Raw genomic sequence first — 27341 nt, 5'->3', positions numbered from 1 at the left:
TAGTGCTCTTCACACTGGCGCGGCTGTGACGCGACGGAGGCGGCGAGAGCGGCAGCCGTGGGCACTTTCCACGGGTGAGGCCTGGAGAACGGGTGGACGTGCAGGCCAGAACCCGGGACCCACCCGGCTGAGCCCCCAGACTCTCCGCTGCCCACGACCCTCGGAGTGGCACCCTCTCCTGGCCGTCTCCTCTCGTGGGTCCCGAAGAACGGGTGCAAAGCCGAGTTCGTCCGCTGTACTGCGCGGGCGCGCGTTTCGTTCTTCGGTTTTGCCACGGTTCTGTGACTCCCTAAAGGTTGAGGGCTACTGAATTAGAAGAAACGCCGAGCTGGCTTCTGGTGGGCTGCCGGGCGCCGGGCAGCGTGCTTGGACTGGGGAGGGCAGGGCGTGTTTACTCTGAGTAGAGCAACCGCAAGACCTCCTTTAAAAAATACCAGTTCTGAGCTTCGGCATTGGAGAGGCCGCCTGTCATTCAGCCTCTTCGGACCCTCTCTCACTCCCTGTCTTCCGGAGCGTGAGTGAAGCCCGGGTGAGGTGTTTTCCCACACGCCGGGGGCCCGGAGCTGAGAAGGGGCATGGCCAGCATCACGCAGCTGTTCGACGACCTGTGTGAGGCCCTCCTGCCGGCTGCCAAGACTCACCTGGGCCAGCGCAGTGTGAACCGGAAGAGGGCAAAGCGGAGCCTCAAGAAGGTGGCCTACAATGCTCTTTTCACAAATCTTTTTCAAGATGAGACTCAACAGCTGCAGCCTGACATGTCAAAACTACCAGCGAGAAACAAGATCCTCATGTTGTCCTTTGACTTGAGAGTGGGTGGCCTGGGCCCCAAGGCCGACCGTTTGGAGGAGCTTGTGGAGGAGCTGGAAGCAGCCCCTTGCTGTCCGCTTTTGGAGGTGGGGTCTGTTTTGGACCTCCTGGTTCAGCTGGCAGGGAGTGGTCCCCCTCAAGTTCTGCCGAGAAAACGAGACTACTTCCTTAACAACAAGCATGTGGGGAGAAACGTTCCGTACAGCGGCTATGATTGCGACGACCTGAGTGTGTTTGAGATGGACGTTCAGTCTCTGATCTCCAGAGAAGAGTGTTTGTGTCACAGCATGATCCAGGAAACACTTCAGGTTATGGAGGCTGCTCCAGGCACTGGCCTGCCCACCGTCGGGCTCTTCTCATTTGGTGACCCTTGTGGTGACAGGTTCGAGAGAGACACCCGGGTCTCGCTCTTCGGGGCCCTTGTGCACAGCCGCACTTATGACATGGACGTCCGACTGGGCCTGCCCCCCGTGCCAGACAATGCGGACCTCTCTGGGCTGGCTATTAAGGTAGAATGTTTAGTTTTTCCTCTTTCATCTCTCTCGGGGTTTGGAAAATGCTTCCTGTGACCTTTCTTCTTCTTCTTCTTCTTCTTTTTTTTTTTTTTTTTGAGACAGTGTCTCACTCTGTCACCCAGGCTGGAGTGCAGTGGCGCGATCTTGGCTCACCTTAACCTCCACTTTCTGGGCTCAAGCAATTCTCGTACCTCAGCCTCCCGAGTAGCTGAAATTACAGGCACCTGCCACCACGCCCGGCTTAATTTTTTTTTTTTTTTGAGATGGAGTCTTGCTCTGTTGCCCAGGCTGGAGTGCCGTGGCGCGATCTCGGCTCACTGTAACCGCCGCCTCCCGGGGTCAAGTGATTCTCCTACCTCAGCCTCCCGAGTAGCTGTAGCTGGGATTTAGGTGCATGCCACCACGCCCAGCTAAGTTTTGTATTTTTAGTAGAGATGGGGTTTCACCATGCTGGCTAGGCTGGTCTTGAACTCCTGACCTCTTGATCCGCCTGCCTCGGCCTCCCAAAGTGCTGGGATTACAGGCGTGAGCCACCATGCCCAACTAATTTTTGTATTTTTAGTAGAGGCGGGGTTTCACCATGTTGGCCAGGCTGGTCTCCAACTCCTGACCTCAAATGATCCACCCGTCTCGGCCTCCCAAAGTGCTGGGATTACAGGCATGAGCCACTGTGCCCGGCCCGGTGACCTTCCTTTTATCATGGTAAAAGGGGGGATAGTCTGGTGGCTGCATTGTCCTGAGGTGGGGCTGCTGGAGTGGGCTTACTGGCGGCCACCCTCCTCTGCAGCGACAGTGCTGCCCACCTGCCGGCCAAAGCAACATGCTGCTTTTCATCTTTACCTAATGGGGTATATCGTTAAGCCACCTCTGCCTTCTAGAGCTGCCGTTTAAATTGAAGTTAATTAAAACAAAATAAAATACTCAGTTCCTCAGCCCCACAAGCCACATTTCAAGTGCTCAGTAGCCACGTGTGGCAAAAGTGTTCATGTTCTGTAATTCGTGCAATTGGATATGTTTTTGCTGTCTGTCGCCTGAGGCTTTACCATGGTACGCTGTAGCTCCTCATTTGAGTTTTGTATTTTATTGCTTTATCAGTGTTGCCAAAAGGATACATTGTTACTAGTCGTTCTATTCTTATGCGATAGCTAGATGATTTAGAAACATACATAATGCTACAGCAAATGTCTTGGTGTACAGCAGTTTTGTTTTTTGTTTTTGAGACAAGTCTTGCTCTGTCGCCCAGGCTGGAGTGCAGTGGTGTGGTCTCGGCTCACTGCAACCTCCATCTCCTGGGTTCAAGCGATTCTCCTGCCTCAGCCTCCTAAGTATCTGGGACTACAGGTGTGCGTCACCACACACAGCTAATTTTTGTATTTTATATGTTTGTATTTTTATTTTTTTATTTTATTTGATTTTTTTTTTTGACACAGTCTCGCTCTGTCGCCCAGGCTCGAGTGCGGTGGCACAATCTTGGCTCACTGCAAGCTCTGCCTCCCAGGTTCACGCCATTCTCCCGCCTCAGCCTCCTGAGTAGCTGGGACTACAGGTGCCTGCCACCACGCCCTGCGAATTTTTTGTATATTTAGTAGAGACGGGGTTTCACCGTGTTAGCCAGGATGGTCTCTATCTCCTCACCTCGTGATCTGCCCGCCTCGGCCTCCCAAAGTGCTGGGATTACAGGCGTGAGCCCGGCCTGATTGTTCTTTTTTTTTTTTTTTTTTTTTTTTTTGAGATGGAGTCTTGTGTAGGGACCAGCCCTACAGGGTCTGTGGGTTTTTCTCTCCATATGCGGAGACCAGAGATGGTAGAAATAAAGACACAAGACAGAGATAGAAGAAAAAACAGCTGGGCCCGGGGGATCACTACCACCAACACGTGGAGACCAGTAGTGGCCCCAAATGCCAGGCTGCGCTGTTATTTATTGGATACAAGGCAAAAGGGGCAGGGTAAGGAGTGTGAGTCATCTCCAATGATAGGTAAGGTCACGTGGGTCACGTGTCAACTGGACAGGGGGCCCTTCCCTGTTTGGCAGCCGAAGCAGAGAGAGAGGAGACAGCTTACACCATTATTTCTGCATTTCAGAGACTTTTAGTACTTTCACTAATTTGCTACTGCTATCTAGAAGGCAGAGCCAGGTGTACAGGATGGAACATGAAAGTGGACTAGGAGTGTGACTGCTGAAGCACAGCATCACAGGGAGACGTTTAGGCCTCTGGATAACTGCGGGTGGGCCTGAGTCATGTCAGGCCCTCCACAAGAGGTGGTGGAGCAGAGTCTTCTCTAACTCCCCCAGGGAAAGGGAGACTCCCTTTCCTGGTCTGCTAAGTAGTGGGTGCTTTTCCTAGGCACTGACGCTACCGCTAGACCAAGGTCCGCTAGGTAATGGGCGTCTTCCCAGGTGCTGCCATTACCACTAGACTAAGGAGCCCTCTAGTGGCCCTGTCTGGGCATGACAGAAGGCTCACACTCTTGTCTTCTGGTCACTTCTCACCTTGCCCCTTCAGCTCCTGTCTCTGTATGGCCTGGTTTCTCGTAAGTTACAATTGTAGAGCGAAGATTATTATAATCTTGGAATAAAGAGCAATTGCTACAAACTAATGATTAATAACGTTCATATATAATCATATTTATGATCTATAGTGTAACTATTCTTGTTCTATATATTTTATTGTACTAGAACAGCTCGTGCCCTCGGTCTCTTGCCTCGGCACCTGGGTGGCTTGCTGCCCACAGTCTTGCTCTGTCGCCCAGACTGGAGTGTGGTGGCGCAATCTCGGCTCACTGCAACCTCCGCTTCCCGGGTTCAAGCAATTCTTCTGCCTCAGCCTCCCGAGTAGCTGGGACCACAGGTGCCCACCACCACGCCTGGCCGATTTTTATATTTTTAGTAGAGACGGGGTTTCACATGCTGGCCAGGCTGGTCTCAAACTCCTGACCTCAGGTGATCCACCTGCCTCAGCCTCCCATAGTGCTGGGATTACAGGCGTGAGCCACTGCGCCTGGCCCCGGTGTACAGTAGTGTTTTAATGTTGAGTGTGATTTTTTTAATTCTGGGTTCCCCACATTGGAATTTCCAGGTCTGAGGCATCTCAAAAAGTTTCACTCTAAGTTCCACTGAGGCTTATGTGTTACATGGAATTGGAAATTGGCAGCCTTGACGACTTATTTTGTTTAATTCCTTAAATGGCTCATTGGTGGGAAACATTGTATGGTACACATGCGCTTGAGAAAAACAGAAGAAACATTTTGTTAGGTCTTTGCATAAAGTTCCTGAAATTCTCATCGCCCTTGGATGAAACGTGGACACAGCAATAAGTGGCGGTTTGCCCTTCCCTGTGTCTCCAGGTCCCACCGAGTGTGGATCAGTGGGAAGACGAAGGATTCCAGTCAGCGTCCAACTTGACTCCTGATTCCCAGTCTGAGCCCAGCGTGACCCCAGACGTGGACCTGTGGGAAGCCGCACTTACCTATGAGGCCAGCAAGCGGAGGTGCTGGGAGCGAGTTGGCTGGTGTGTGCCCTTCTTTGCCTTGGCATGCAGTGCCCCTACCCCTGCATGAGCGTGGCCTTGGATGGGGTGTGTGGGGGGCGTTGTGTACTCAGGGGTCCAGGCAGTTGTGATGGGTTAGTAACCTAAGCTAGTGTCCAAAATTGACTGAGTCCTGGGAGTTAAGAGAGATGCAGAGGGGAAAGCACTAACAGCCTTTAAGGAGGCCTCACCTCCCCATCCAGTAACCAGATCACACCTGTCGGGCAGAACTCCCCTCCCTGTGCCAGTAACCAGATCACACCTGTCGGGCAGAGCTCCCCTCCCCGTGCCAGTAACCAGATCACACCTGCCAGGCAGAGCAGTTGGGGCAGCTAAGTTATGTCCTTAAGAGCAAGAGAGCTGCCTGGCAGGCTGTGTGATTAGTGCCAGGAAGAAATGCTCACTGGGCATGGGGTGCTGATGAAGGAGCCTTTTCCATTCATGTCTAGAGGAATTGGGGTGCTGATGAACACGGAACCTTTTCCGTCCGTGTCTGGAGGAGTTGGGAGGGGCAGTCTGGGTGATGAGAAGCTCCAGCTGCAGCAGCTTTTTCCTGACTGGTACCAGCAGCTTGCTCTCTGGATGCGGTAGCCACTCACTCCCTGGCTCACCTGGGTCCAGAGGCCTCTGCACTCAGCACCTCTCAGAGTCTTTAATGTGGTGGTATCTTTTGATAACTCCCAGAACCCAGGCAGAGAATATGCATTTCGCCTGGGCGCGGTGGCTCACATCTGTAATCCCAGCACTTTGGGAGGCTGAGGCGGGCAGATCACTTGAAGTCAGGATTTTGAGACTGGCCTGGGCAACATGGTGAAACCCCGTCTCTACTAAAAATACAAAAATTAGCTGGGCGTGGTGGTGCTCGCTTATAATCCCAGCTACTCAGGAGGTTGAGGCACAAGAATCACTTGAACCTGGGAGGTGGAGTTTGCAGTGAGCCGAGATTGCACCACTGCACTCCAGCCTGGGTGACAGAGTGAGATTGTCTCAAAAACAAAAAACAAACAAACAAAAAAACACGCACTTCCCCAAATGTTTGGCCATGGAATGCCCCGTTCACATCCAGTCCACTGGTGATCCTGTGGGTATCGGTTTGGGGAGTGTTGGGTGAAAGGGTCAGGGCTGGCTGGGAGCTGAGTGCTCTGGGATGCAGTGGCTGGGCTCTGGCAGCCTGGACAGGAGCATGTGCCCCCGGGTGGGCGAGCTTTCCTGACATCATGAAGATTCCCTCAGGGTTGGCTGTCTCCCTGCTTCCCAGCACGGTGGTGGTGGCTTTATCCTGACTGCCAGGGCCTTCCTGCTGTGTCACTTCCTGCTGGTGCATCAGTCAAAGCAAATCTCATGGTCCTGCTCTCTGCCAATCCCTCACACGTTTAAAAACTGGCCTTTGGGAGGCTGAGGCGGGTGGATCACGAGGTCAGGAGATCGAGACCATCCTGGCTAACACAGTGAAACCCCGTCTCTACTAAAAATACAAAAAATTAGCCAGGCGTGGTGGCGGGTGCCTGTGGTCCCAGCTACTGGGGAGGCTGAGGCAGGAGAATGGCGTGAACCCGGGAGGCGGAGTTTGCAGTGAGCGGATATTGCGCCACTGCACTCCAGCCTGGGTGACAGAGCGAGACTCCGTCTCAAAAAAAAAAACAAAAAAAAAAACTGGCCCTACAAGTTATTGCTTTATTCTGTACATGTCTGCTAATAGTATTTTTTTCTGTTTTTTTTTTGTATTTATTTATTTATTGAGGCGGAGTCTTGTTCTGTTGCCCAGGCTGGAGTGCAGTGGCACCATCTCCAGCTCACTGCAACCTCCGCCTCCCGGGTTCAAGTAATTCTCCCTGTCTCAGCCTCCTGAGTAGCTGGGATTACAGGCACCTGCCACCATGCCCAGCTAATTTTTGTAAAAACTCAGAACCTTCCAACACCAGGTTCCCTTCACCTGGAACATTCTTCAGCTCACCATAATTAGGCAACTCCTTTCATCCTAAACAAACTAGGTCCCCCAAACTCTCCCTCATAAGTCTGTCTGTCTGTCTCTCTCTCTCTCTCTCTCTTTTCTTTTTCTTTCTTTGTCCTTGTTGCCCAGGCTGGAGTGCAATGGCGCAATCTTGGCTCACTGCAACCTCTGCCTCCTGGGTTCAAGCGATTCTCCTGCCTCAGCTTCCCAAGTAGCTGGGATTACAGTGGGATTACAGGCATGGGACACCACGCCTGGCTAATTTTGTGTTTTTAGTAGAGATGGTGTTTCTCCATGTTGGTCAGGCTGGTCTTGAACTCCCACCGTCAGGTGATCCACCCGCCTCGGCCTCCCAAAGTGCTGGGATTACAGGCATGAGCCACCGTGCTGGCTGTATTTCATTTATTAACTCCCCCTTTTCTAGGTTCATTTTTTCGGGTTGCTGATGAGGAGACATGGTCACTCACTCTCCTCATCACCCTGTTCTGAATACGCTGGAGACTGCGGAGCTCCCGCACGGTGGGGCCCGGCGGTGGTTCCTAGGCTGCGGAGCTCCGGCACGGTGGGGCCTGGCGGTGGTTCCTATAGGGAGGTGCTGCTGTGTGCCTGGCAGTGTGCTGAGCACAGCCTGGGCAGCTCCTGTAGGGACTTTCTCTGCCCAGGGCCCTGCAGAGTGAAAGTGCTGTGGTCATCTCAGTGTCCAGTGGCTGACCTGCACAGGGCCACACAGTGGCTGGACCTGAGTTTACGTCTCCTGGGCCCCTCTACTCCCTGATCCCACGGCCCCTGACACTGCAGTCGGGTCAGCCTGATGCTGTGGTTCAAGTTCCTTTGGCAAATCGTTTGGTCTTGTTTCATTTTAAATCCCAGCCACCTGCTAGTTTCCTGCTGTGATGAGCTCTGACCAGCAGGTGGCTAAAGAAACTGCCGCCTAGCCAGAAATTGAGCCTTCTCCACTCTCCAAGACATCAACCCTGCTTTCCCACAGGTCCCAAGACCCCACGGGGGGCCACTCGCCCCTGCTGTTGCCCACCCTGAGAACCACCATTGTCCGACTGCTCACGGCCCTCCCTGCTGCTGAGCTGCAAGGGCTGGGTTAAGGCGGAGGGAGGCCTTTCAGACCCTGGAATGGTCTCTTTCTCTGCATGTGCCACCCATCTGGGGGAAGCATTTTGCTACATTTTGGGTTGTGTTCTCTCTGGGGACCTGTTGGGGCGGGGGGTGTTCACTCCAGAGCCTGCAGGATCCTGCGCTGTGTCTTTGTGTTTCCGCTGTGGGCTTTTTTTCCCTCAGTTCTGAGTCACCAAGAGGGGTGTGCAGCCATGGCAGTGCTGGGGGCCAGTCCTGGAGGAGATGGGGTGGAAGTGGCTGCAGGGGGAAACAGGGTTGTGCCCACAGCCTGCACCCCTGCCGAGGCCATCTGCAGGAAGAAATGCAGGGGGCAGACAGAGGCTCTGAGAGGCTGTGTCTTTCTCATGCTCATCTCATCCTGAGGGAGCCTGGGCAGGCGTCTGGGGTCCAGAGCGGCCCCACCTGCTGACTGGACATCTCAGGGCTGGTCTCCTTCCTCCTGCCCCCTCCAGCCCACCCTCTTCATAGCAGAGGTGGCCAGTAAAAGTGTGTTTCTTGGAGCTGATTGTTTTCGCAGGGAGGACGGGGGTGTGAGTGTGTGTAGTGCCAGTACATGTGGTTTCACAGCCTCAGCACCAGCAGAAGGCAAATTTCCTCAGAGTTGCATGTGCCCAGGGCTGCCTGTACCAGCCCACCTTACCTGTTACTGTCTTAAAAATTTGTGAACTTAGCCAGGTGCAGTGGCTCACGCCTGTAATCCCAGCACTTTGGGAGGCTGAGGTGGGCGGATCACGAGGTCAAGAGATCGAGACCATCCTGGCTAACACGGTGAAACCCCATCTCTGCTAAAAATACAAAAAATTAGCCAGGCATGGTGGCCCGTGCCTGTAGTCCCAGCTACTCGGGAGGCTGAGGCAGGAGAATGGTGTGAACCCAGCAGGCAGAGGTTGCAATGGGCCAAGATCGTGCCACTGCACTCCAGCCTGGGTGACAGAGCGAGACTCCGTCTCAAAAAAAAAAATTGTGAATTTTTTTTTCTGTATCCATCTCTTACGGTTTTTCTGAGGTGGGGCAGTAAAATTTATATAATGTTTTTACCGTCTTAACCAGTTGTACAGCTTTGTAATGCTGTGTGTATTTTCACTGCTGCACAGCAAGTCTGCAGGAAACTCTGAACCCATTAAACAGCTCCCCATTCACTCCACTTTTTTTTTTTTTTTTTCCGAGATGGAGTCTTGCTCTGTTGCTCAAGCTGGAGTGCAGTGGCACGATCTTGGCTCACTGCAACCTCCACCTCCCGGGTTCAAGCCATTCTCCTGCCTTAGCCTCCTGAGCAGCTGGGATTACAGATGCCCGCCACCACGCCCAGCTAATTTTTGTGTTTTTAGTAGAGTCAGGGTTTCACCATGTTGGCCAGGCTGGTCTTGAACTCCTGACCTCGTGATCTGCCTTTCTTGGCCTCCCAAAGTGTTGGGATTATAGGCATGAGCCACCGCACCTGGCCTCCACTTTCTGTCTCTAGGATTTTGGCCACTGTAGGGACCTCATGTAAGTGGAGTTGCACAGTGTTTTGTGATGGCTCATTTTACTCCACTTGGCGTCCTCGAGCGCCGTCCCTGTGGAGACAGTGTTTTGTGATGGCTCATTGCACTCCACACGGCGTCCTTGAGTGCCGTGCCTTCTGGAGCACGTGTCTGAGCTGCCTTCCTTTTTAAGGCTGAATGATGGGCAGGGGTCTGCACGGACGGTCTGTGTTTATCCTCCTCTGTTGGGGGCTCAGGCTCCTCTCCCCCTGGCTGTTGTGGATGTTGTTGCCGTGGACGGGGGTGTGGATGCTGCTGTGGACAGGCATGTGGATGTTGCCGTGGACAGGCATGTGGATAGGCATGTGGATGTTGCCGTGGACAGGGATGTGGATGCTGCCATGGACAGGAGTGTGGATGATGCTGCCGTGGACAGGGATGTGGATGATGCTGCCGTGAATAGGGGTGTAGATGCTGCCATGGACTGGGGTGTGGATGCTGCCATGGACACGGGTGTGGATGATGCTGCAGTGGATAGGGTTGTGGATGATGTTCCCATGGACAGGGGTGTGGATACTGCTGTGGACAGGGGTGTGGCTGATGCTGCCGTGGACAGGGGGTGGATGCTGCCGTGGATAGGGGTGTGGATGATGCTGCGGTGGACCTGGGTGTGGATGCTGCCATGGACGGGAGTGTGGGCGATGCTGCCGTGGACCTGGGTGTGGATGCTGCTGTGGACAGGGGTGTGGATGATGCTGCCATGGGTGTGTGTGGGTGATGCTGCCAGGGACAGGGGTGTGGGTGATGCTGTCGTGGACAGGGGGTGTGGATGATGCTGCTGTGGACCTGGATGTGGATGCTGCTGTGGACGGGGGTGTGGGTGCTGGTACCATGGGTGGGTGTGGGTGATGCTGCCGTGGACAGGGGGTGTGGATGATGCTGCTGTGGACCTGGGTGTAGATGCTGCTGTGGACGGGGGTGTGGGTGATGCTGCCGTGCACAGGGGGTGTGGATGATGCTGCTGTGGATAGGGGTGTGGATGATGCTGCCGTGGACGGGGGTGTGGGCGATGCTGCCGTGGACCTGGGTGTGGATGATGCTGCTGTGGAACTGGGTGTGGATGCTGCTGTGGACAGGGGTGTGGATGCTGCTGCTGTGGACGGGGGTGTGGGCGATGCTGCTGTGGACCTGGATGTGGATGATGCTGCCGTGGACTTGGGTGTGGATGCTGCTGTGGACAGGGGTGTGGATGATGCTGCCGTGGACCTGGGTGTGGATGCTGCTGTGGACAGGGGTGTGGATGCTGCTGTGGACAGGGGTGTGGATGATGCTGCCATGGGTGGGTGTGGGTGATGCTGCCATGGACAGGGGTGTGGGTGATGCTTCCGTGGACAGAGGGTGTGGATGATGCTGCTGTGGACCTGGGTGTAGATGCTGCTGTGGACGGGCGTGTGGATGATGCTGCCGTGGATGGGTGTGGGTGATGCTGCTGTGGATAGGGGTGTGGATGATGATGCTGTGGACAGGGGGTGTGGATGCTGCCATGGATGGGGTATGGATGATGCTGCCATGGACAGGGGGTGTGGATGATGCTGCAGTGGACCTGGATGTGGATGCTGCTGTGGACAGGGGTGTGGATGATGCTGCCATGAACAGGGATGTGGATGCTGCCATGGACCTGGGTGTGGATGCTGCCATGGACAGGGTGTAGATGCTGTTGTGTACATGGGTGTACAAATCTTGTTTTGTTTCTAACAGAAGAATACTTTATGAGTGAATCACCATCTTGAGGGCCACTGGCGTGGCCTGGGGTGCTCTTCCAGGGCTGGGCCAGTCGGATACCCCCGGCCATGCCCAGGACCCCAGGAAGGTGCCCTGGAACACTTTCCACATGAGTTGTCCTGATAGAATCGATCGTGCTGGTATTCACAGCAGCAGCATCCACAAAAGGCTGGGTGGTGAGCTGACATTCATACCTGGCTATGTTTCTTAGAGTTTATTGTTTTGAATCACTTCCATTCTTCTGTTCATGCCCATTCCCGAGAGAAAGCACCCTGGTGCTGAGGTGCAGGTCACCACGTCTGCTCATGGCCTCTCTTCTGCACCCCTCGCAGCCCCCCTGGCCACAGAGAGGAGCCTTACCTGACGGAGGCGGGAAGGGACGCTTTCGACAAGTTCTGCAGGCTCCACCAAGGGGAGCTCCAGCTGCTTGCTGGGGGCGTCCTACAGGCCCCGCAGCCCGTGCTGGTGAAGGAGTGCGAGCTGGTGAAAGACGTGCTGAACGTCTTGATTGGGGTCGTGTCTGCCACGTTTTCGCTCTGCCAGGTGAGAACTGCTCACTCCCCGCCACAGTGGTGTGGGGCTGGCCTGCCCTCCACCACGCAGTGCCCAGCCCTTTATGGGGCAGAACAAGCCCCAGTGCAGGGAGTGGGGAGTGGCAGGGAAGGCCAGCTCCCAGGGCCACCAGTGATGACAGCCAGCATCATCCCATTTCGGTTCTAAAAAGTGTTAATTTATTAATGTCCTTTTAAAAAACTGCAGAGAAATAACATGTTTATTGCTGTCAGCAAAGCGATAGAAAATGTTCCTCCCCGCATTTCCATTTCCGTCCTGAAGTGCCAGGCGCCTTCCGAGCCTTCCCACCGCTCGGGAGGAGCATCTGCCTGCCGAGAGCGTCCCGAGACTGGGGCCTGCGCTGCTCTTCTCACTGGATGCGGTGTCATCCGGGATGGGGCCGGGCCTTACTGGTTCTGGCACCAGCTGCAGTTTAGCCAGCCCTCTTGCTGGGCACTGGAGAAGTGAATGGATATATTCAGAAAAATGAAGTCTTGCTCTGCAGCTTTTTCATTTAAGTGCTCATCCCCTTCCTTTGTCTTAAATGTTCTTTTATGGTGGCCATTCTTAGACTTCAGAATGGACTAGAAGCACAGCCAGTGACTGCCCCAGAAAAGTGCTCACCAGCAAGCTCCAGCTGCTGCCGGCGCTGAGGGCGCCTGTTCTCAACACCGTGCTCACAGCTCATCTTGTCTGTTGTGGGGATAGCCTTATTGTGTGGAACCAACCCTGACTCTCTTTTTTTTTTTTGAGACAGGGTCTCTCTCTTGCCCAGGCTGGAGTGCAGTGGCACCATCACAGCTCACAGTAGCCTCGACCTCCTGGGCTGAATCTCAATCCTCCCACCTTAGCCTCCATGTAGCTGGGACTACAGGCACGTGCCACCACACTCAGCTCATTTTTTTCTTTTCTTTTTCTTTTTCTTTTTCTTTTTTTTTTTTGAGACAGAGTCTCGCTCTGTTGCCCATTCTGGAGTGTAATGGCACGGTCTCGGCTCACTGCAAACTCTGCCTCCCGGGTTCAAGCAATTCTCCTGCCTCAGCCTCCCGAGTAGCTGGGATTACAGGTGCATGTCACTACGGCTGGCTAATTTTTGTATTTTTAGTAGAGACGGGGTTTCACCATGTTGCTCAGGCTGGTCTCTTGACTCCTGACCTGAGGTGATTTGCCCACCTCAGCCTCCCAAAGTGCTAGGATTACAGGCATGAGCCACCACGCCCGGCCCACCCAGCTAATTTTTAAAATGCCTGAAGAGATGGGGTCTTGCCGTGTTGCCCAGGCTGGTGTTGAACTCCTGGGCTCAAGTGATCTGCCTGCCTCAGCCTCCCAAAGTCCTGGGATTGCAAGTGTGAGCCGCCACGCCCGGCCCCTACTTTTCATTTCTGATTTTAGTAACTTGATTTTTTTCTCTTGTTTTCATAGTCATCTTTTCTTTTTTTTTTTTTTTGAGACGGAGTCTCGCTCTGTGGCCCAGGCTGGAGGGCAGTGGCGCGATCTCGGCTCACTCCAAGCTCCGCCTCCCGGGTTCACACCATTCTCCTGCCTCAGCCTCCCTGAGTAGCTGGGACTACAGGCACCCGCCACCGCGCCCGTCTAATTTTTTGTATTTTTAGTAGAGACGGGGTTTCACCATGTTAGCCAGGATGGTCTTGATCTCCTGACATTGTGATCCGCCCGTCTCGGCCTCCCAAAGTGCTGGGATTACAGGCGTGAGCCATCGTGCCTGGCCCTAGTCATCTTTTTTCTTAATTATTCTAGCTAAGACTTGTCAATTTTGTTGATCTTTTCAAAGAGCCAGCTTTTTGTTTGGTTCTCTCTATTGTTTTTCTATTTTGTATTTTTTTTTTCTTTTTGAGACGGATTCTCACTCTGTCGCCCAGGCTGGAGTGCAGTGGTGTGATCTCAGCTCACTGCAGCCTCCGCCTCCTGGGTTCAAGCGATTCTCCTGCCTCAGCCTCCCAAGTAGCTGGGACTACAGGCATGGACTACCACGCCTGGCTAATTTTTGTATTTTTAGTAGAGATGGGGTTTCACCATGTTGACCAGGCTGGTCTCAAACTCCTGACCTCAAGTGATTTCACCCACCTTGGCCTCCCAAAGTGTTGGTGTTACAGGTGTGAGCCACTGTGCTTGGCCTACTCTGTATTTATTTCTGCTCTAATTATTTTTTGTTTCCTTCTGCTAGTTTTGGGTTTAACTGCTTTTTTTTTTTTTTTTTTTTTTTTGAGATAGAGTCTCGCTCTGTTGCCCAGGCTGGAGTGCAATGGCGTGATCTCAGCTCACTGCAACCTCTTCCTCCTGGGTTTAAGCAATTCTCCTGCCTCAGCCTCCTGAGTAGCTGGGATTATAGGCGTGCACTACCTCGCCCAGCTAATTTTTGTTTTTATTAGAGATGGGTTTTCACCATGTTGGTGAGGCTGGTCTCAAACCCCTGACCTCAAGTGATCCGCTTGCTTCGGCCTCCCAAAGTGCTGGGATTACAGATGTGAGCCACTGCGTCCAGCCTGTTTTTCTTTTCTTTCTTTTTTTTTTTTTTTGGAGACAGGATCACCCAGGCTGGAGTGCAATGGCTCAAACATGACTCACTGCAGCCTCAACTTCCTAGGCTCAAATTGATCCTCCTGCCTCAGCCTCCCGAGTAGCTGGGACCAACAGGCATGCACCACCACGGCTGGCTAATTTTTAATTTTTTTTTTTTTTTGAGACGGAGTCTTGCTCTGTCTCCCAGGCTGGAGTGCAAAGGCGTGATCTCAGCTCACTGCAACCTCTGCCTCCCGTATTCAACAATTCTCCTGCCTCAGCCTCCTGCGTAGCTGGGACTACAGGTGCACGCCACCATGCCTGGCTAATTTTTGTATTTTTAGTAGAGACGGGGCTTTGCCATGTTGGCCAGGCTTGTCATGAACTCCTGACCTGAAGTGATCCACCTGCCTTGGCCTCCTGAAGTGCTGGGATTACAGGCGTGAGCCACCATGCCTGGCCTAACTTTTAAAATTTTTTTAGAGATGGGGGTCTTGCTATGTTGCCCAGGCTGGTCTCAGACTTCTGGGCTCAAGTGATCCTCCTGCCTCAGCCTCCCAAAGTTCTGGGATTATAGGTGTGAGCCACTGTGCTTGGCCTAACAGCTCTTTTTAAAATATCTCTTTAGGGTATACACGGTGCTGTTGTGGTTTGGTATCTTGTTCCTTTGTATTGCGGGATATTTTTTTTCCTTTCTAACGTGGGTATTTGCGGCTGTAACCTCCCTTCTGGCTTCTGCTACACCCCATTCGTTTTGGTTGTCATGAGCCCTCTATTGGGGGTCTCCACTCTCTGGTTATAAACATACTGTGGAGAATGTCCTGTGGCGAGTCTTTGTGCATCTTCCATCATTTCTCTAATTCATCCCGAAGAGTCAAATGAGCGGGTCTCACGGCCGTCATGTTTTATAGCTTCTGCCCCAGGAGGCTGTCTGTGTACTTGTGTCCTGTGGAAGGTGTTCTGTTTTTTTCTACCCTTTTCTACACTTGGCATTTTAAACATGTATTTTTCAGTGTGGTCAGTGAGGATTTGTGCCTCGGTTTGGTCCCTCGGTGTGGGAGTTCTGGGTATGCCTTCTGGGCATTTGCTTTTGGGTCCTGGAGGCACTCTAGGTGGCGTGGGGTTGGGTGCAAGGGTGGAGGGAGACGGCACCTTACTGGGGGTCTGGGTGCCTGGCCTCTGTGACCAGTGTCCTCTGCCCCTGTGCAGCCGGCCCAGGCCTTTGTGGTGAAGCGGGGCGTCCACGTGTCAGGAGCGTCTCCCGAGAGCATCAGCAGCCTGCTCTCGGAAGTGGCCGAGTATGGGACCTGCTACACGCGCCTGAGTCATTTCTCTCTGCAGCCCGTCCTGGACTCTTTGTACAGCAAGGGCCTCGTGTTCCAGGTATGGCCTTTGCCTCATGGTTGTCACACACCTTTGTGAGAACGGTGCACACGACCTGGAAGAGAGAATCTCAGAGGTCCTTCTGCAGGACCAGAGAGTCTAAACCTTTTCTTTCCTTGCTAACATCTGAAACCCGATAGTGGCTCTTGAGGGATGGGTCAGTGAGGATGTTTTACCTCACTAGAAACTTGGGGCAGATGTGTGTGGGCCCTGGGCTGTGTGGGCCCTGGGGTGTGTAGGAGGCAGGTGCAGCCAGCATAAGGGGTGCGCAGGGCAGGAAAGGCGTGAGTGGGGCTCTTGCTGCCTGCTCCCCAGTGGGCCCGGCACATTGTGGATGACTGACAGCGCAGGGCCCTCCTGTTGGGTGAATTTACATTGCTGGGAGTTCTGAGCCAAGTCTGGCTCCGGAAGCTGCTGTTTGGTGAGTCTTGAAGCTGGCTCATGTGCTGGGAAGAGGCCCATGGGACAGGGGCTGCACCTTGAGTGGGAGAGAATAGGCAGGTGGATGATGGGGCATTTGGGTTTGGGGGATTGAGAGGAGGGTGTTGGGGAAGGTGGGCAGAGAGCCCTGGAGGAGCCAGGCAGCGCAGCCTCCTTTGACTGTTGCTGCTGCAGCAGGGGCTGTCGGGTGGGGTGATGTGGTGAGGTGTAGGTTTTAGATGGGCTGTGGAGGTGGGCATGGTGGGAGCTGCACGGGGCGGGGAGAGCTTCTAGGCAGAGGCTCAGCCCCGGGGGACTTGAGAGCTAGAGATGGTGGAGAAGGGGTCAGAGCAGGGGACGCTGAGAAGGGCTGGACTGTGGTTCTTGTTCATCTGGCAGGCATAGCCAGGCGGCTCCTGGGGTGGGTGGACTGAGATTGGTCCAGGGTGCCCCTGTCTTAGTGTGACCTGCAGGGCCTGCTGCTGTGGCGTTGCCCAGGATGCTGGTGCCACTGAGACAGCTGTGGTCGGAGCAGCTGCAGCCCTCACAGCACTAGTGTCTGTGCACAGAGCACGGCCGCCATTTCCCCCCCAGCCCCTTTGCCATGCCCCTGGGGCAGCTGGGCTCAGATGAGAGGAAGGGTTGGTGGTGGGCGCCCCTGGGGCAGCTGGGCTCAGATGAGAGGAAGGGTTGGTGGTGGGCGCCCCTGGGGCAGCTGGGCTCAGATGAGAGGAAGGGTTGGTGGTGGGCCACAGCTTCTGGCTTCTTGTGGATGGGCCGCATTTCCACCTGGCCCGGTGGCGGGGTGTGGCTCACAGAGGCCCATTGCTTGGAAATGGAGCCCAGAGCTGAGGCAAGAAACAAAGCGCTGTTCCCAGCACTGGTGCCCCTCAGGCCCTGGGCACGGCTGCGTCCATGTGCCTGGCCGCCCTCCTCCCAGCCTCTTTGCCCACAGGCCTTCACCAGTGGCCTGAGGAGGTACCTGCAGTATTACCGGGCCTGCGTCCTTTCCACTCCGCCCACCCTGAGCCTCCTCACCATTGGTTTTCTCTTCAAGAAACTTGGCCGGCAGCTCAGGTGAGCCTCAGCATGGCGGCTGAGCAGGGGACTTTGCGGGAGCGGTGTGGGGCTTGCTGGGTGGTGGAGGGTTTGCCCTGCTCCCTGGCAAGGAGGGCCTGTGAGAACAGCCCTCAGCAGGCGACCGGATGGCCCTTGGCCGGCCGAGTTCACCAGGTGCCCGGTGCTGAGCGGGTGTGTCTGCCGTGGGCCCACCACAGCTGGCCCCATCCAGGCCCTCCAGGTCCGGTGGCTCCTGCCTAATTGGCACACAGGGTCCCTGGAGATGTGGCGTCCGGTACACACAAGCTGGTTAGTGAGCAACCAGGCTCGGGGGCTATTGGCAGGTGCCATCAGAGAAGGAAGAGTGAGGAGCTGGGCATTGGGAGCAGTGGGAGAGGCGACCTTCCAGGCTGAGGAGCAGAGTGTGGCAGCGCTGAGGAGACCCAAGGGCTGAGACACTGTGGGGCAGGGGAGCTGGGCTGTGAAGGGTGCGAGTTGTGGCAGATGCTTGGTACCACTGTGTGGATGGGAGGGGCTCTCAGGTGCAGCCCCCAGAAGTGGGAGGATCAGGGTGATTCGTGTGTTGGCCAGATCCTGGGAGGGAGGGCCTGCTGGGTGTGGGTACTTCAGTGGGGTGTGTGTGGACAGCGCAGGGGCACAGGGCTGCACACGAGTCCTGCAGGGAGCCCGTTTCTGGGTGGTTGGGGTGCCTGTGGTTTTTAAAGCCTGCATCTAAAGTTAGTTGCCCCAGGGAGCATAAAGATACGTGGAGACTTTGCTCACGATCTGATCCAGGCCTGGGAACCCTGAGCCCGGTCACCTGGTCTCATCCTGCCTCTGGGTCTAGGTACCTGGCCGAGCTCTGTGGCGTTGGCGCTGTGCTCCCGGGCACCTGTGGAGGAGGCCCCAGGGCCGCGTTTCCCACCGTGAGTTGTGCGTCCCTGCCGAGTGTGTCAGCCTGGTGGGCTCCAGGAAACGGGGGTGGCTGAGCGTGTCCCTGGAGGGCTGCTGCCGGCAGGGCTGCGCCTCACTCCCAGCGCTGGGTGCGCTGAGCTGCCCCCCACCCCCTTTGCGGTCTGCAGGGCGTGAAGCTGCTGTCCTACCTCTACCAGGAGGCTCTGCACAACTGCAGCAACGAGCACTACCCTGTACTGCTGTCCCTGCTGAAGACCAGCTGCGAGCCCTACACCCGGTGGGCAGTGGGCTGGGCAGGCGCGGCGGGCGCGCACTCCCACCAGGCAGACACTTGAGAGCGGTCCCTTGTCAGACACCTGCTGAATGTGGGGGTCACACAGGAAGGGGAGGGCAGGATAGGTGGACTGGGCAGGAGCCCCCAACCCCCCACCCTGCCCCCACTCCACACCCCCCACCCTGCCCCCACTCCATCCCGCCCCTCATGGATGGCCACACCCCACTCCACCTCTCACAGCTACGCCCCCACTTGCCCCTCACTGACAGCCACGCCCCTGTCCCACCCCTCACTGACAGCCACGCCCCACCCACCTCTCCGTTGACCACATCTACCCCTGCTTTTCCCCCACTGCAGGTTCATCCACGACTGGGTGTACAGCGGGGTGTTCAGAGACGCTTATGGCGAGTTCATGATTCAGGTGAACCACGAGTACCTCAGCTTCCGAGGTAGGTGGCAGCTGATTGCGGGGCAGGGGTCCGTGCCTGTGGGCCTGGGTTCAGGGCCATGGCCATGCCGGCCACCGTGGTGTTCACCCTACCTTAGATAAGTTGTACTGGACACATGGCTACGTGCTCATCTCCAAAGAGGTGGAGGACTGTGTTCCCGTGTTTCTGAAGCACATTGCCCACGACATATACGTCTGCGGAAAGACCATTAACCTGCTGAAGCTCTGCTGCCCCCGGGTGAGGAGGGGCTCATGTGTGGGGAAGAGAGGGGCCGGTCTTCCCTGGGGCTGAGTATGAGGCTGGGGCTGAGTGCTGGTGGCTGTGCTTGCATCCCCTTTGGCAGCATTACCTCTGTTGGTCCGACGTCCCTGTCCCCCGGATCTCGGTGATTTTCTCCCTTGAGGAGTTGAAGGAGATTGAGAAGGACTGTGCCGTCTACGTTGGGCGCATGGAGAGGGTGGCCCGCCACAGCTCTGTCAGCAAGGAGGAGAAGGTGCGTGGCACCACAGGTCTCGGGGGCTTTCTTCGCCCCTGCCTCTGCTTCCTGGGGTCTCAGGTTGGTGGGGCGGACATGAGGGCTGTGCAAGATGGGGGCCTCCCTTCTGGCATTTTCTGTCCTGGCGGTGGCCTGGGTGGGTGCCAAGGGGGAGTTGAGATGAAGGGTGGGTGTCAACGGGGAGTTGAGATGAAGGGTGGGTGCCAAGGGGGAGCTGAGATGAATGTCCGGAGCCAGATGCCAGGCAGGGGCTCTGACTTCTCCTCCTGGGTCTGGGTGGCTCAGCCTGAAGCCCAGGCTTTGCTGGCGTGGGAAACTCCGTTGGGGCCTCCCCGGGCCCGCCAGCTGTGGACAGACAGTCCTGGCTGCACTCCAGATGGCCTTCGCCCTTTGCAAGCCCCCTTCCTGCTGGGAAGGGACAGTGTGTCAGGGACGGGCCACGCCTCTCCTGTGTCTTCTGGGAGGGGCTCGGTGGTACAATCAGTGCCATTCCCAGGAACACCCTTTCTGGCCTGGTGCCTGGTGGGCAGCAGGGATACTTGGGCAGGGGCAGGCCTAAGAGGCTGAGCGGGGAAGCCCCCTCTTGAGGCCTCTTGGTTTCCTTCCAGGGTGGGCACACACAGCCTTGGGGTCCTCAGCCCCAGATGTCTCTGTGAGAGCCGGTCAGCTCCCGTCCATGGCCTGGAACCAGCCTTGCCACTGCTGAGAGCCTGGGGGTGGGGGAGGGTGGGCGGGGGGGCGGTGTCCTGCCATCACCTGGTCCCTCCTCGAACCCTTGGACCATGTGTCTCCCCTGCCGGCCCTGAGTCCACAGGTGTCCTGGGCATCCTAGGTGAGGGGTCAGAGGATTAGGTTGCTTTTTTTTTCTTTGAGACAGGGTCTCACTGTGTCAGCCAGGAGGCTGGAGTGCAGCGGCTCGAACATGGCTCACTGCAGCCTCCACCTCCCAGGCTCAAGGGATCCTCCTGCCTAAGCTCCCCTGACCCCCGCCAAATAGTTGATACTACAGGCACCTGCCACTACACCTGGCTAATTTTTGTATTTTTAGTAGGGATGGGTTTTTGCTATGTTGTCCAGGCTGGTCTTGAACTCTTAAGCTCATGTGATCTACCCACCTCGGCCTCCCAAAGTGCCAGGATTACAGGCGTGAGCCACTGCGCCCGGCCAGGATGCTTTGATTACCAGTTGTCTTTCTCAGGAATTACGTATGGAAATTGCAAAACAAGAATTAATCGCTCATGCCCGGGAAGCAGCATCCAGGGTCCTGAGTGCACTGAGTGGTGAGTGGCCCCAAGTCCTCCCTTCTGCAGTTCCGGGGGGCCTTGCTGGGGCCTCCTTGTGACAGTGCGCCCCTTACTGTCCCAATGTAGACCGGCAGATGTCAGAACGGATGGCCTTGGATGCCCGGAAGCGTGAGCAGTTTCAGAGGCTGAAAGAACAATTTGTGAAGGACCAGGAGGTGGGTAGGACCTGTCCCTGCGGGGTCACGCCTGTCAGTTCTGATTTCACAGGCCAGGCTCTATGTGTTTTATAGCGACGCCAGGCGGCCAGGCAGGAGGAGCTGGATGATGACTTCAGCTACGCCCGTGAACTCCGAGACAGGGAGAGAAGGCTGAAGTCCCTGGAGGAGGAGCTGGAGAGGAAGGCGAGGTAGGGCAGCCCGGGCTCCAGGCCCAGGGGTGCAGTGCGGCAGGGGCCCCATAGCTCTGGCTTAATCTTACTGATGATTTTACTTTTTGTTTTGAAAACCTTCAAACATACATTAAGGTAGAAAGACCAATATGCTGAACCCAGAGTGGCTGTGGGCGTTCTGCCTTATCCAGGCATCCTTAGCTGTTCTGCGCGTTGTCTTGTGGTGGTTTGTATGGATTAGGGTCCAGGCGAGGCCTGCGTACTGTTTGGGGTCCTGTCTCTTTATTTATCTTCTTTCTGAACATCCTTCCTTATTTATTTTTAAGTCTGTTATTGGTCTGACAGAGACAGGGCGTTTTTTTTTTTTTTTTTTTTTTTGGAAACAGAGTCTTGCTCTGTCACCCAGGCTGGAGTGCAGTGGCACAATCTCGGCTCACTGTAACCTCCGCCTCCCAGGTTCAAGCAATTCTCCTGCCTCAGCCTCCTGAGTAGCTGGGGTTACAGGCATCCGCCACCACATCCAGCTAGTTTTTTGTATTTTTAGTACAGACGGGGTTTAACCATGTTGGCCAGGCTGGTCTCAAACTCCTGACCTCAGGTGATCCACCTGCCTCGGCCTCCCAAAGTGCTGGGATTACAGGCGCGAGCCACCGCGCTCGGCTGAGACAGGGCATTTGTCCAGCACAGCATCTGCGTCTGTCTCCCTGTGCTGTTATCAACCTGTCCTGTGCTGTCATCAGGCTGTCCCAGGCTGAGTAGTGCTGGATCCTTCAAGGGGCTGTTTGGGGTTTTGGAGAGAGCCCCTCACGGGAGGGGCTGGCCGCTTCCTGCTCAGCCCCACGCGATGCTGTAGGTCCCAACCTTAGATCTCTTTATGGAGCGAGTGAGGGATGTGTGTGGAGGGGTGCGCGTGCCTGTGTGCACGTGTGTCCGTGTATGCATTTATGCATGAGTACGTGTTCATGCATGTATGTCAGTCGATACTGTCCTGTTAACACATGGAGAAAACCAGGCCTAGACACTACGTCTCTGGCCTGTGGCAGCCAAATTAGAGCTGGCCAGTCCAGGTTTGAGCCCAGTTGCCTGCTGGTGAGAAGCTCAAAATCATGGGGCACGATCGGTGAAGCAGGCTTTGAATTCAGCAAATAAAGCGTTTGTGTTGGTTTTGCTTCATGTGCTTTTTTGCATTAGTTTTCAGTTCTCAGGTTTGTACCTGTAGAAGGGGAAGAGGCCTAACTTCTTAGAGGCCTGGGGCCCTCGGCCTCCTGCTCACCCCTTGCTTCAGGCCACACAGGATCTCATTCTGGTATTTGTCCAGCAGATGTTGCTGAGCCCTGGCTGGACGCTGACTCACCAGGGTCTCCCAGCCTGGCAGGTAGAAGGGCCTGCCTGGTGCTGCCCTGTAGGTGCTGTGAGGGCCCAGAGCTATCAGCCCCTGGTAGGGGGAGACGGGGGCGGGGGCCCACTGGGGCCTCTGTTATGGAGAACCATCCTGGCCTGAGGGGTGCCAGGTAGATGGGGTGGGGTGACTCTTGTGGCCGTGTCCTCTCTGGTGTGTGGCTTCAGGCAGGCACTGGTCGACCACTACAGCAAGCTCTCTGCAGAGGCAGCTCGTCGGGAGCAGAAGGCACTGTGGAGAATCCAGAGGCACCGACTGGAGAGTGCACGGCTTCGTTTTCTCTTAGAAGATGAGAAACACATTCAGGTATGTCTGCGGCTTCAGATGGCAGCTCTTCCCCTGGGCTTTGGGGGTCTGGAAACCCCCTGAGACTGCACACAAACCTACATGCTCTTCTAGGAGAGGGCTGGTGGCTTTCGCGTTTGCGGCAGAGCACTCTCTCTCCCCGTGTGCCACCAAATTGCACAGATACAGGTGGTGAGGAGCTCGTGGTTTTGGAGTACTTTTTGCAGGCCCAGCGTCCCACTGGAGCCCAGCACAAGCCTTGTCTGGTTCAGTGCACATGGCTGCCATGGGCGGTAGGGGCTGTGGCTTTGTGTGGGGTAGGGCTGTGCTTGACTCCGGCTTGGCCAGTCACCCCTCTGGCTTGAATTTCAGGAGATGCTGAAAGCAGTGTCTGAGGCTCACCAGCCCCAGGAGCCGCCAGACGTCCTCTTGAGCGTGCACCCCCAGGTAAGCGGCAGAGTGGAACCCAGGGTGCCCTATGGTTTTCCCATAGCCCTCGGCACCTGGTGTTGGTCATGGCTGCAGAGCTGAACTTGGGGGACAGTTCGAGGGCTGGGGGGTCCTGAGACCAGACTGGGTCTGATGTCACCTGTGTTTCAGGTCACGTCTCCGGGCCCTGAGCACCCAGAGGGAGGCCAAGGCTGTGATTCTGGGTCTGCAGAGCAACACTCGCCTGCCTGGGATGGCTGGAACAGGCCAGGCCTGCTGACCCCACAGCCCCTTAAGCCTCTAGCAGTGGGGGCTGGTGGCAGGGGGCTGCAGCAGGCGGAGGGGGCCAGACCCTTCTCTGACAGCCTCAGCATTGGAGACTTCCTACCTGTGGGCCCAGGGGCTGAGCCGTCCGTGCAGACTGGCATGGTCCCTCTCCTGGAGGTGGCGCTGCAGACCATTAACTTGGACCTGCCCCCCTCAGCTCCTGGGGAGGCACCCGCAGCAGCCAGCACTCAGCCCTCCAGGCCACAGGAGTACGACTTTAGTACTGTCCTGAGGCCAGCTGTGGCCACCTCACCTGCACCAGGGCCCCTGCAGGCTGCAGAGTGCAGCTTGGGCAGCTCAGGGCTACAGCTGTGGGAGGACAGTTGTGGGAAGATGGATGCCTGTGGCTCCGCCTCGCGGGAGACTCTGCTCCCCTCACACCCACCCAGGCGTGCTGCTCTGGAGGAGGGGAGCAGCCAGCCCACAGAGCGGCTCTTTGGGCAGGTGTCAGGGGGTGGTCTTCCCACAGGGGACTACGCTTCTGAAATAGCTCCCACCCGGCCACGGTGGAACACCCACGGGCACGTGTCTGACGCCAGCATCAGGGTCGGGGAGAATGTGTCAGATGTGGCTCCCACCCAGCCACGGTGGAACACCCACGGACACGTATCCAATGCCAGCATCAGCTTAGGGGAGTCTGTGTCAGATGTGGCTCCCACTCGGCCACGGTGGAACATCCATGGACATGTGTCCAACGCCAGCATCAGGGTCGGGGAGAATGTGTCAGATGTGGCTCCCACCAGGCCACGGTGGAATACCCACGGGCACGTGTCCAACGCCAGCATCAGGGTTGGGGAGAACGTGTCGGACGTGGCTCCCACCCGGCCACGGTGGAACACCCATGGACACGTGTCCGATGCCAGCATCAGCTTGGGGGAGTCTGTGTCAGACATGGCTCCCGCCCGGCCACGGTGGAACACCCATGGACACGTGTCTGATGCCAGCATCAGCTTGGGGGAGTCTGTGTCAGACATGGCTCCCACCCGGCCACGGTGGAACACCCACGGACATGTGTCTGACACCAGCATCAGGGTTGGGGAGAACGTATCGGACGTGGCTCCCATCCGGTCACGGTGCAACACCCATGGACACGTGTCCGACGCCAGCATCAGCTTGGGGGAGCCTGTGTCGGATGTGGTTTCCACCCGGCCACGGTGGAACACCCATGTACCCATCCCTCCGCCCCACATGGTGCTGGGGGCTCTCTCACCAGAAGCTGAGCCCAACACACCCAGGCCCCAACAGAGCCCCCCTGGCCACACGTCCCAGTCAGCGCTCAGCCTGGGAGCACAGAGCACTGTGCTGGACTGTGGGCCACGGCTGCCTGTAGAAGTGGGGCCATCTCTGTCCTCCCCCAGCTCGGGCTGCGGGGAGGGGAGCATCAGCGTGGGGGAGAACGTGTCAGACGTGGCTCCCACCCAACCATGGTGGCCCAACACCCCGGGAGACAGTGTCTCTGAAGAACTAGGTCAGAGTAGGGTGGCTGGTGGTCAGGAGTGGGACTGTGGGACGCACAGAGCCTGGGAGGTAGGCGGGCAGTGGGGTTGGTGGCATGTGAAGTTCCCCTCAGGCCTCCTTGTCAGCCAGGACCTGGGCTGCTGTGGGGGACATGGGAGGGGCTGCTTGAGCCAGGGCCGGCTCGGCTCTGTACCCGCCACAGGCACTCGGCCCTGATGCCCTCGTGTCCACTTGTGTCCACACAGGCCCTGGGAGGAGCGGGGACACTGAGGACCTCTCTCCAAATTGGCCTCTCAACTCACAGGTTAGGTGGATGCAGCCTGGGGGTCCCACAGCAGGCAGGGAGGGCTCTGTCCCTCTAGGTTGTCACGCGGGTGGGTCCCACATGCGATTTTCCTTTTTTTGGCACAAGCTGGTTGTGGGGACAGCGTGCAGTGGGGAGGTGGTTCTGAGGCTGGTGTTTTGTTAGGAAGACACAGCTGCCCAGAGCAGCCCAGGCCGTGGTGAGGAGGCGGAGGCATCGGCGGCGGAGGCTCAGGGTGGGGAGCAGGCCTACCTGGCAGGCCTGGCAGGGCAGTACCACTTGGAGCGGTACCCGGACAGTTACGAGTCCATGTGTGAGTGCAGCAGTTGCTGTTGGCAGGGAGCCCTGGGCTGGCTGGTTCCCAGCACGTGCTCCACCTCCTGTGGGTTGGGGCGGAGCCCTGGGCTAGCCAGTTCCCAGCACGTGCTCCATCTCCTGTGGATGGGGGCGGAGCCCTGGGCTGGCCGGTTCCCAGCACGTGCGTGCTCCATCTCCCGCAGCCGAGCCGCCCATTGCTCATCTTTTGCGCCCCGTGCTTCCCCGGGCCTTCGCCTTCCCCGTGGACCCCCAGGTCCAGTCTGCCGCTGATGAGACTGCTGTGCAGCTGAGCGAGTTGCTGACGCTGCCCGTGCTCATGAAGCGCTCCATCACGGCACCGCTGGCCGCCCAGTGAGTGCCCCTGCCCCTGCGCCAGTCTGCCCACCCAGCCCGTCCTGGCCCGCCCTGACTCCAGCTCCCTCCTGCCAGCATCTCCTTGGTGAACAAGGCCGCTGTCGACTACTTCTTCGTGGAGCTGCACCTGGAGGCGCACTATGAGGCACTGCGGCACTTCCTGCTGATGGAGGACGGCGAGTTCGCCCAGTCCCTCAGCGACCTGCTCTTTGAGAAGGTGGCCTCCGGACACGGGGTGGGGCCAGTGGTAGAGGGGAGGCCGTGGGAAAAGAGAGACTGGCTGCACGCCCACAGCCCCCTGCTGCTCTGGCACAGCCCCATGGGGTGCCGGCGAGTGCCAGGCATGTGCTTGGGACTCCTGGGGACGGTGGTCCCTTTTCTGCCTAGCTTGGAGCTGGGCAAACGCCCGGAGAGCTGCTCAACCCGCTGGTGCTGAACTCTGTGCTGAGCAAGGCCCTGCAGTGCAGCCTGCATGGGGACACCCCGCACGCCTCCAACCTCTCCCTCGCTCTCAAGTACCTGCCCGAGGTGTTTGCCCCCAACGCCCCGGATGTGCTGAGCTGCCTGGAGCTCAGGTACAAGGTCAGCAGCAGCCCTGGCCGCGGGGGATGGGACAGGGGCCTGCCTGCCTGTGGGATGCCTGCTGAGCCACGCCTCCTGGCAGGTGGACTGGCCTCTCAACATTGTCATCACCGAGGGCTGCGTGAGCAAGTACAGCGGCGTCTTCTCCTTCCTGCTGCAGCTGAAGCTCATGATGTGGGCGCTCAAGGACGTCTGCTTCCACCTCAAGCGCACAGGTGAGGCCCCGCTGGAGCCCGGCGCCCCGCACCCCTGGCTGGAGGCTGCGCTCACCTCTGCCCTCTGCCTTCTGCCCTCCGCCAGCCCTGCTGAGCCACATGGCCGGCTCTGTGCAGTTCCGTCAGCTGCAGCTGTTCAAGCACGAGATGCAGCATTTCGTGAAGGTCATCCAGGGCTACATCGCCAACCAGATCCTGCACGTCACCTGGTGCGAGTTCAGGGCCAGGTTGGCCACCGTGGGCGACCTGGAGGAGATCCAGCGTGCGCACGCAGAGTACCTGCACAAGGCCGTCTTCAGGTGAGGCCTGGGCAGCGGCTGCGTCCCTGTGGTCACGGCTCAGCCCACCCAGCAGCACTGCTTCCCCCCAGGGGCCTGCTCACGGAGAAGGCGGCGCCCGTCATGAACGTCATCCACAGCATCTTCAGCCTCGTGCTCAAGTTCCGCAGCCAGCTCATCTCCCAGGCCTGGGGGCCCCCTGGGGGCCCGCGGGGTGCAGAGCACCCCAACTTTGCACTCATGCAGCAGTCCTACAACACCTTCAAGTACTACTCCCACTTTCTCTTCAAAGGTGAGGCCCACCCTGGCTGGGAGGGCTGCGGGGGGGCCAGGGCGGGGCTCACACTGTGGGCAAAAGCCTGAGCTGCTCGCTGGTCCCCAGTGGTGACCAAGCTGGTGAACCGCGGCTACCAGCCCCACCTGGAGGACTTTCTGCTGCGCATCAACTTCAACAACTACTACCAGGACGCCTGAGGCTGCTCTGCGGGGGACGTGCACAATAAAGGTGTTCTCGGA

General features: G+C 56.9%; 1 protein-coding gene across 4 annotated transcripts, besides 7 other annotated features; it reads left to right on the top strand.

The window, feature by feature from the left end:
- Positions 12–27341, top strand: TUBGCP6 (tubulin gamma complex component 6). Of its 4 annotated transcripts, NM_020461.4 has the most exons (25): positions 12–1316; positions 4668–4831; positions 11509–11719; positions 15458–15631; positions 17007–17128; positions 17958–18036; positions 18193–18302; positions 18657–18748; positions 18846–18985; positions 19092–19241; positions 20443–20524; positions 20615–20703; positions 20779–20894; positions 22443–22581; positions 22933–23007; positions 23161–24784; positions 25020–25078; positions 25244–25391; positions 25579–25747; positions 25826–25967; positions 26138–26332; positions 26415–26547; positions 26633–26846; positions 26918–27117; positions 27208–27341. In NM_020461.4, exons 1-25 carry the CDS (start codon positions 576–578, stop codon positions 27297–27299), a joined length of 5460 nt encoding a protein of 1819 aa, NP_065194.3. In that variant the 5' UTR covers positions 12–575; the 3' UTR covers positions 27300–27341. The 4 variants fall into 4 exon arrangements, 1 of the variants encoding a protein (NP_065194.3); XR_938347.3 differs by lacking the exons at positions 26918–27117; positions 27208–27341 and having other exon boundaries at positions 26138–26325; positions 26633–26739; XR_001755343.3 differs by lacking the exons at positions 26138–26332; positions 26415–26547; positions 26633–26846; positions 26918–27117; positions 27208–27341 and having other exon boundaries at positions 23161–24843; positions 25826–25937.
- Positions 180–229: an enhancer, noted in NCBI's record as "active region_19309". NCBI's record gives its function as "activates an Ori minimal core promoter by ATAC-STARR-seq in GM12878 lymphoblastoid cells {active_cell/tissue: GM12878}" and the evidence as "EXISTENCE:reporter gene assay evidence [ECO:0000049][PMID:35858748]".
- Positions 493–1423: an enhancer, noted in NCBI's record as "H3K4me1 hESC enhancer chr22:50682041-50682971 (GRCh37/hg19 assembly coordinates)". NCBI's record gives its function as "activates a minimal SCP1, AML or CMV promoter by ChIP-STARR-seq in primed H9 embryonic stem cells {active_cell/tissue: H9 hESC(primed)}" and the evidence as "EXISTENCE:reporter gene assay evidence [ECO:0000049][PMID:30033119]".
- Positions 640–919: an enhancer, noted in NCBI's record as "active region_19308". NCBI's record gives its function as "activates an Ori minimal core promoter by ATAC-STARR-seq in GM12878 lymphoblastoid cells {active_cell/tissue: GM12878}" and the evidence as "EXISTENCE:reporter gene assay evidence [ECO:0000049][PMID:35858748]".
- Positions 3331–3630: an enhancer, noted in NCBI's record as "active region_19307". NCBI's record gives its function as "activates an Ori minimal core promoter by ATAC-STARR-seq in GM12878 lymphoblastoid cells {active_cell/tissue: GM12878}" and the evidence as "EXISTENCE:reporter gene assay evidence [ECO:0000049][PMID:35858748]".
- Positions 5528–6027: an enhancer, noted in NCBI's record as "H3K4me1 hESC enhancer chr22:50677437-50677936 (GRCh37/hg19 assembly coordinates)". NCBI's record gives its function as "activates a minimal SCP1, AML or CMV promoter by ChIP-STARR-seq in primed H9 embryonic stem cells {active_cell/tissue: H9 hESC(primed)}" and the evidence as "EXISTENCE:reporter gene assay evidence [ECO:0000049][PMID:30033119]".
- Positions 6028–6529: an enhancer, noted in NCBI's record as "H3K4me1 hESC enhancer chr22:50676935-50677436 (GRCh37/hg19 assembly coordinates)". NCBI's record gives its function as "activates a minimal SCP1, AML or CMV promoter by ChIP-STARR-seq in primed H9 embryonic stem cells {active_cell/tissue: H9 hESC(primed)}" and the evidence as "EXISTENCE:reporter gene assay evidence [ECO:0000049][PMID:30033119]".
- Positions 24798–25440: an enhancer, noted in NCBI's record as "H3K4me1 hESC enhancer chr22:50658024-50658666 (GRCh37/hg19 assembly coordinates)". NCBI's record gives its function as "activates a minimal SCP1, AML or CMV promoter by ChIP-STARR-seq in primed H9 embryonic stem cells {active_cell/tissue: H9 hESC(primed)}" and the evidence as "EXISTENCE:reporter gene assay evidence [ECO:0000049][PMID:30033119]".

The sequence above is a fragment of the Homo sapiens genome, chromosome 22, assembly GCF_000001405.40.
Source record: "Homo sapiens chromosome 22, GRCh38.p14 Primary Assembly".
Classification (NCBI taxonomy): domain Eukaryota; kingdom Metazoa; phylum Chordata; class Mammalia; order Primates; family Hominidae; genus Homo; species Homo sapiens.
The sequence above is the reverse complement of the archived record's forward strand: the minus strand, read 5'-3'. Positions and strand labels throughout refer to the sequence as shown.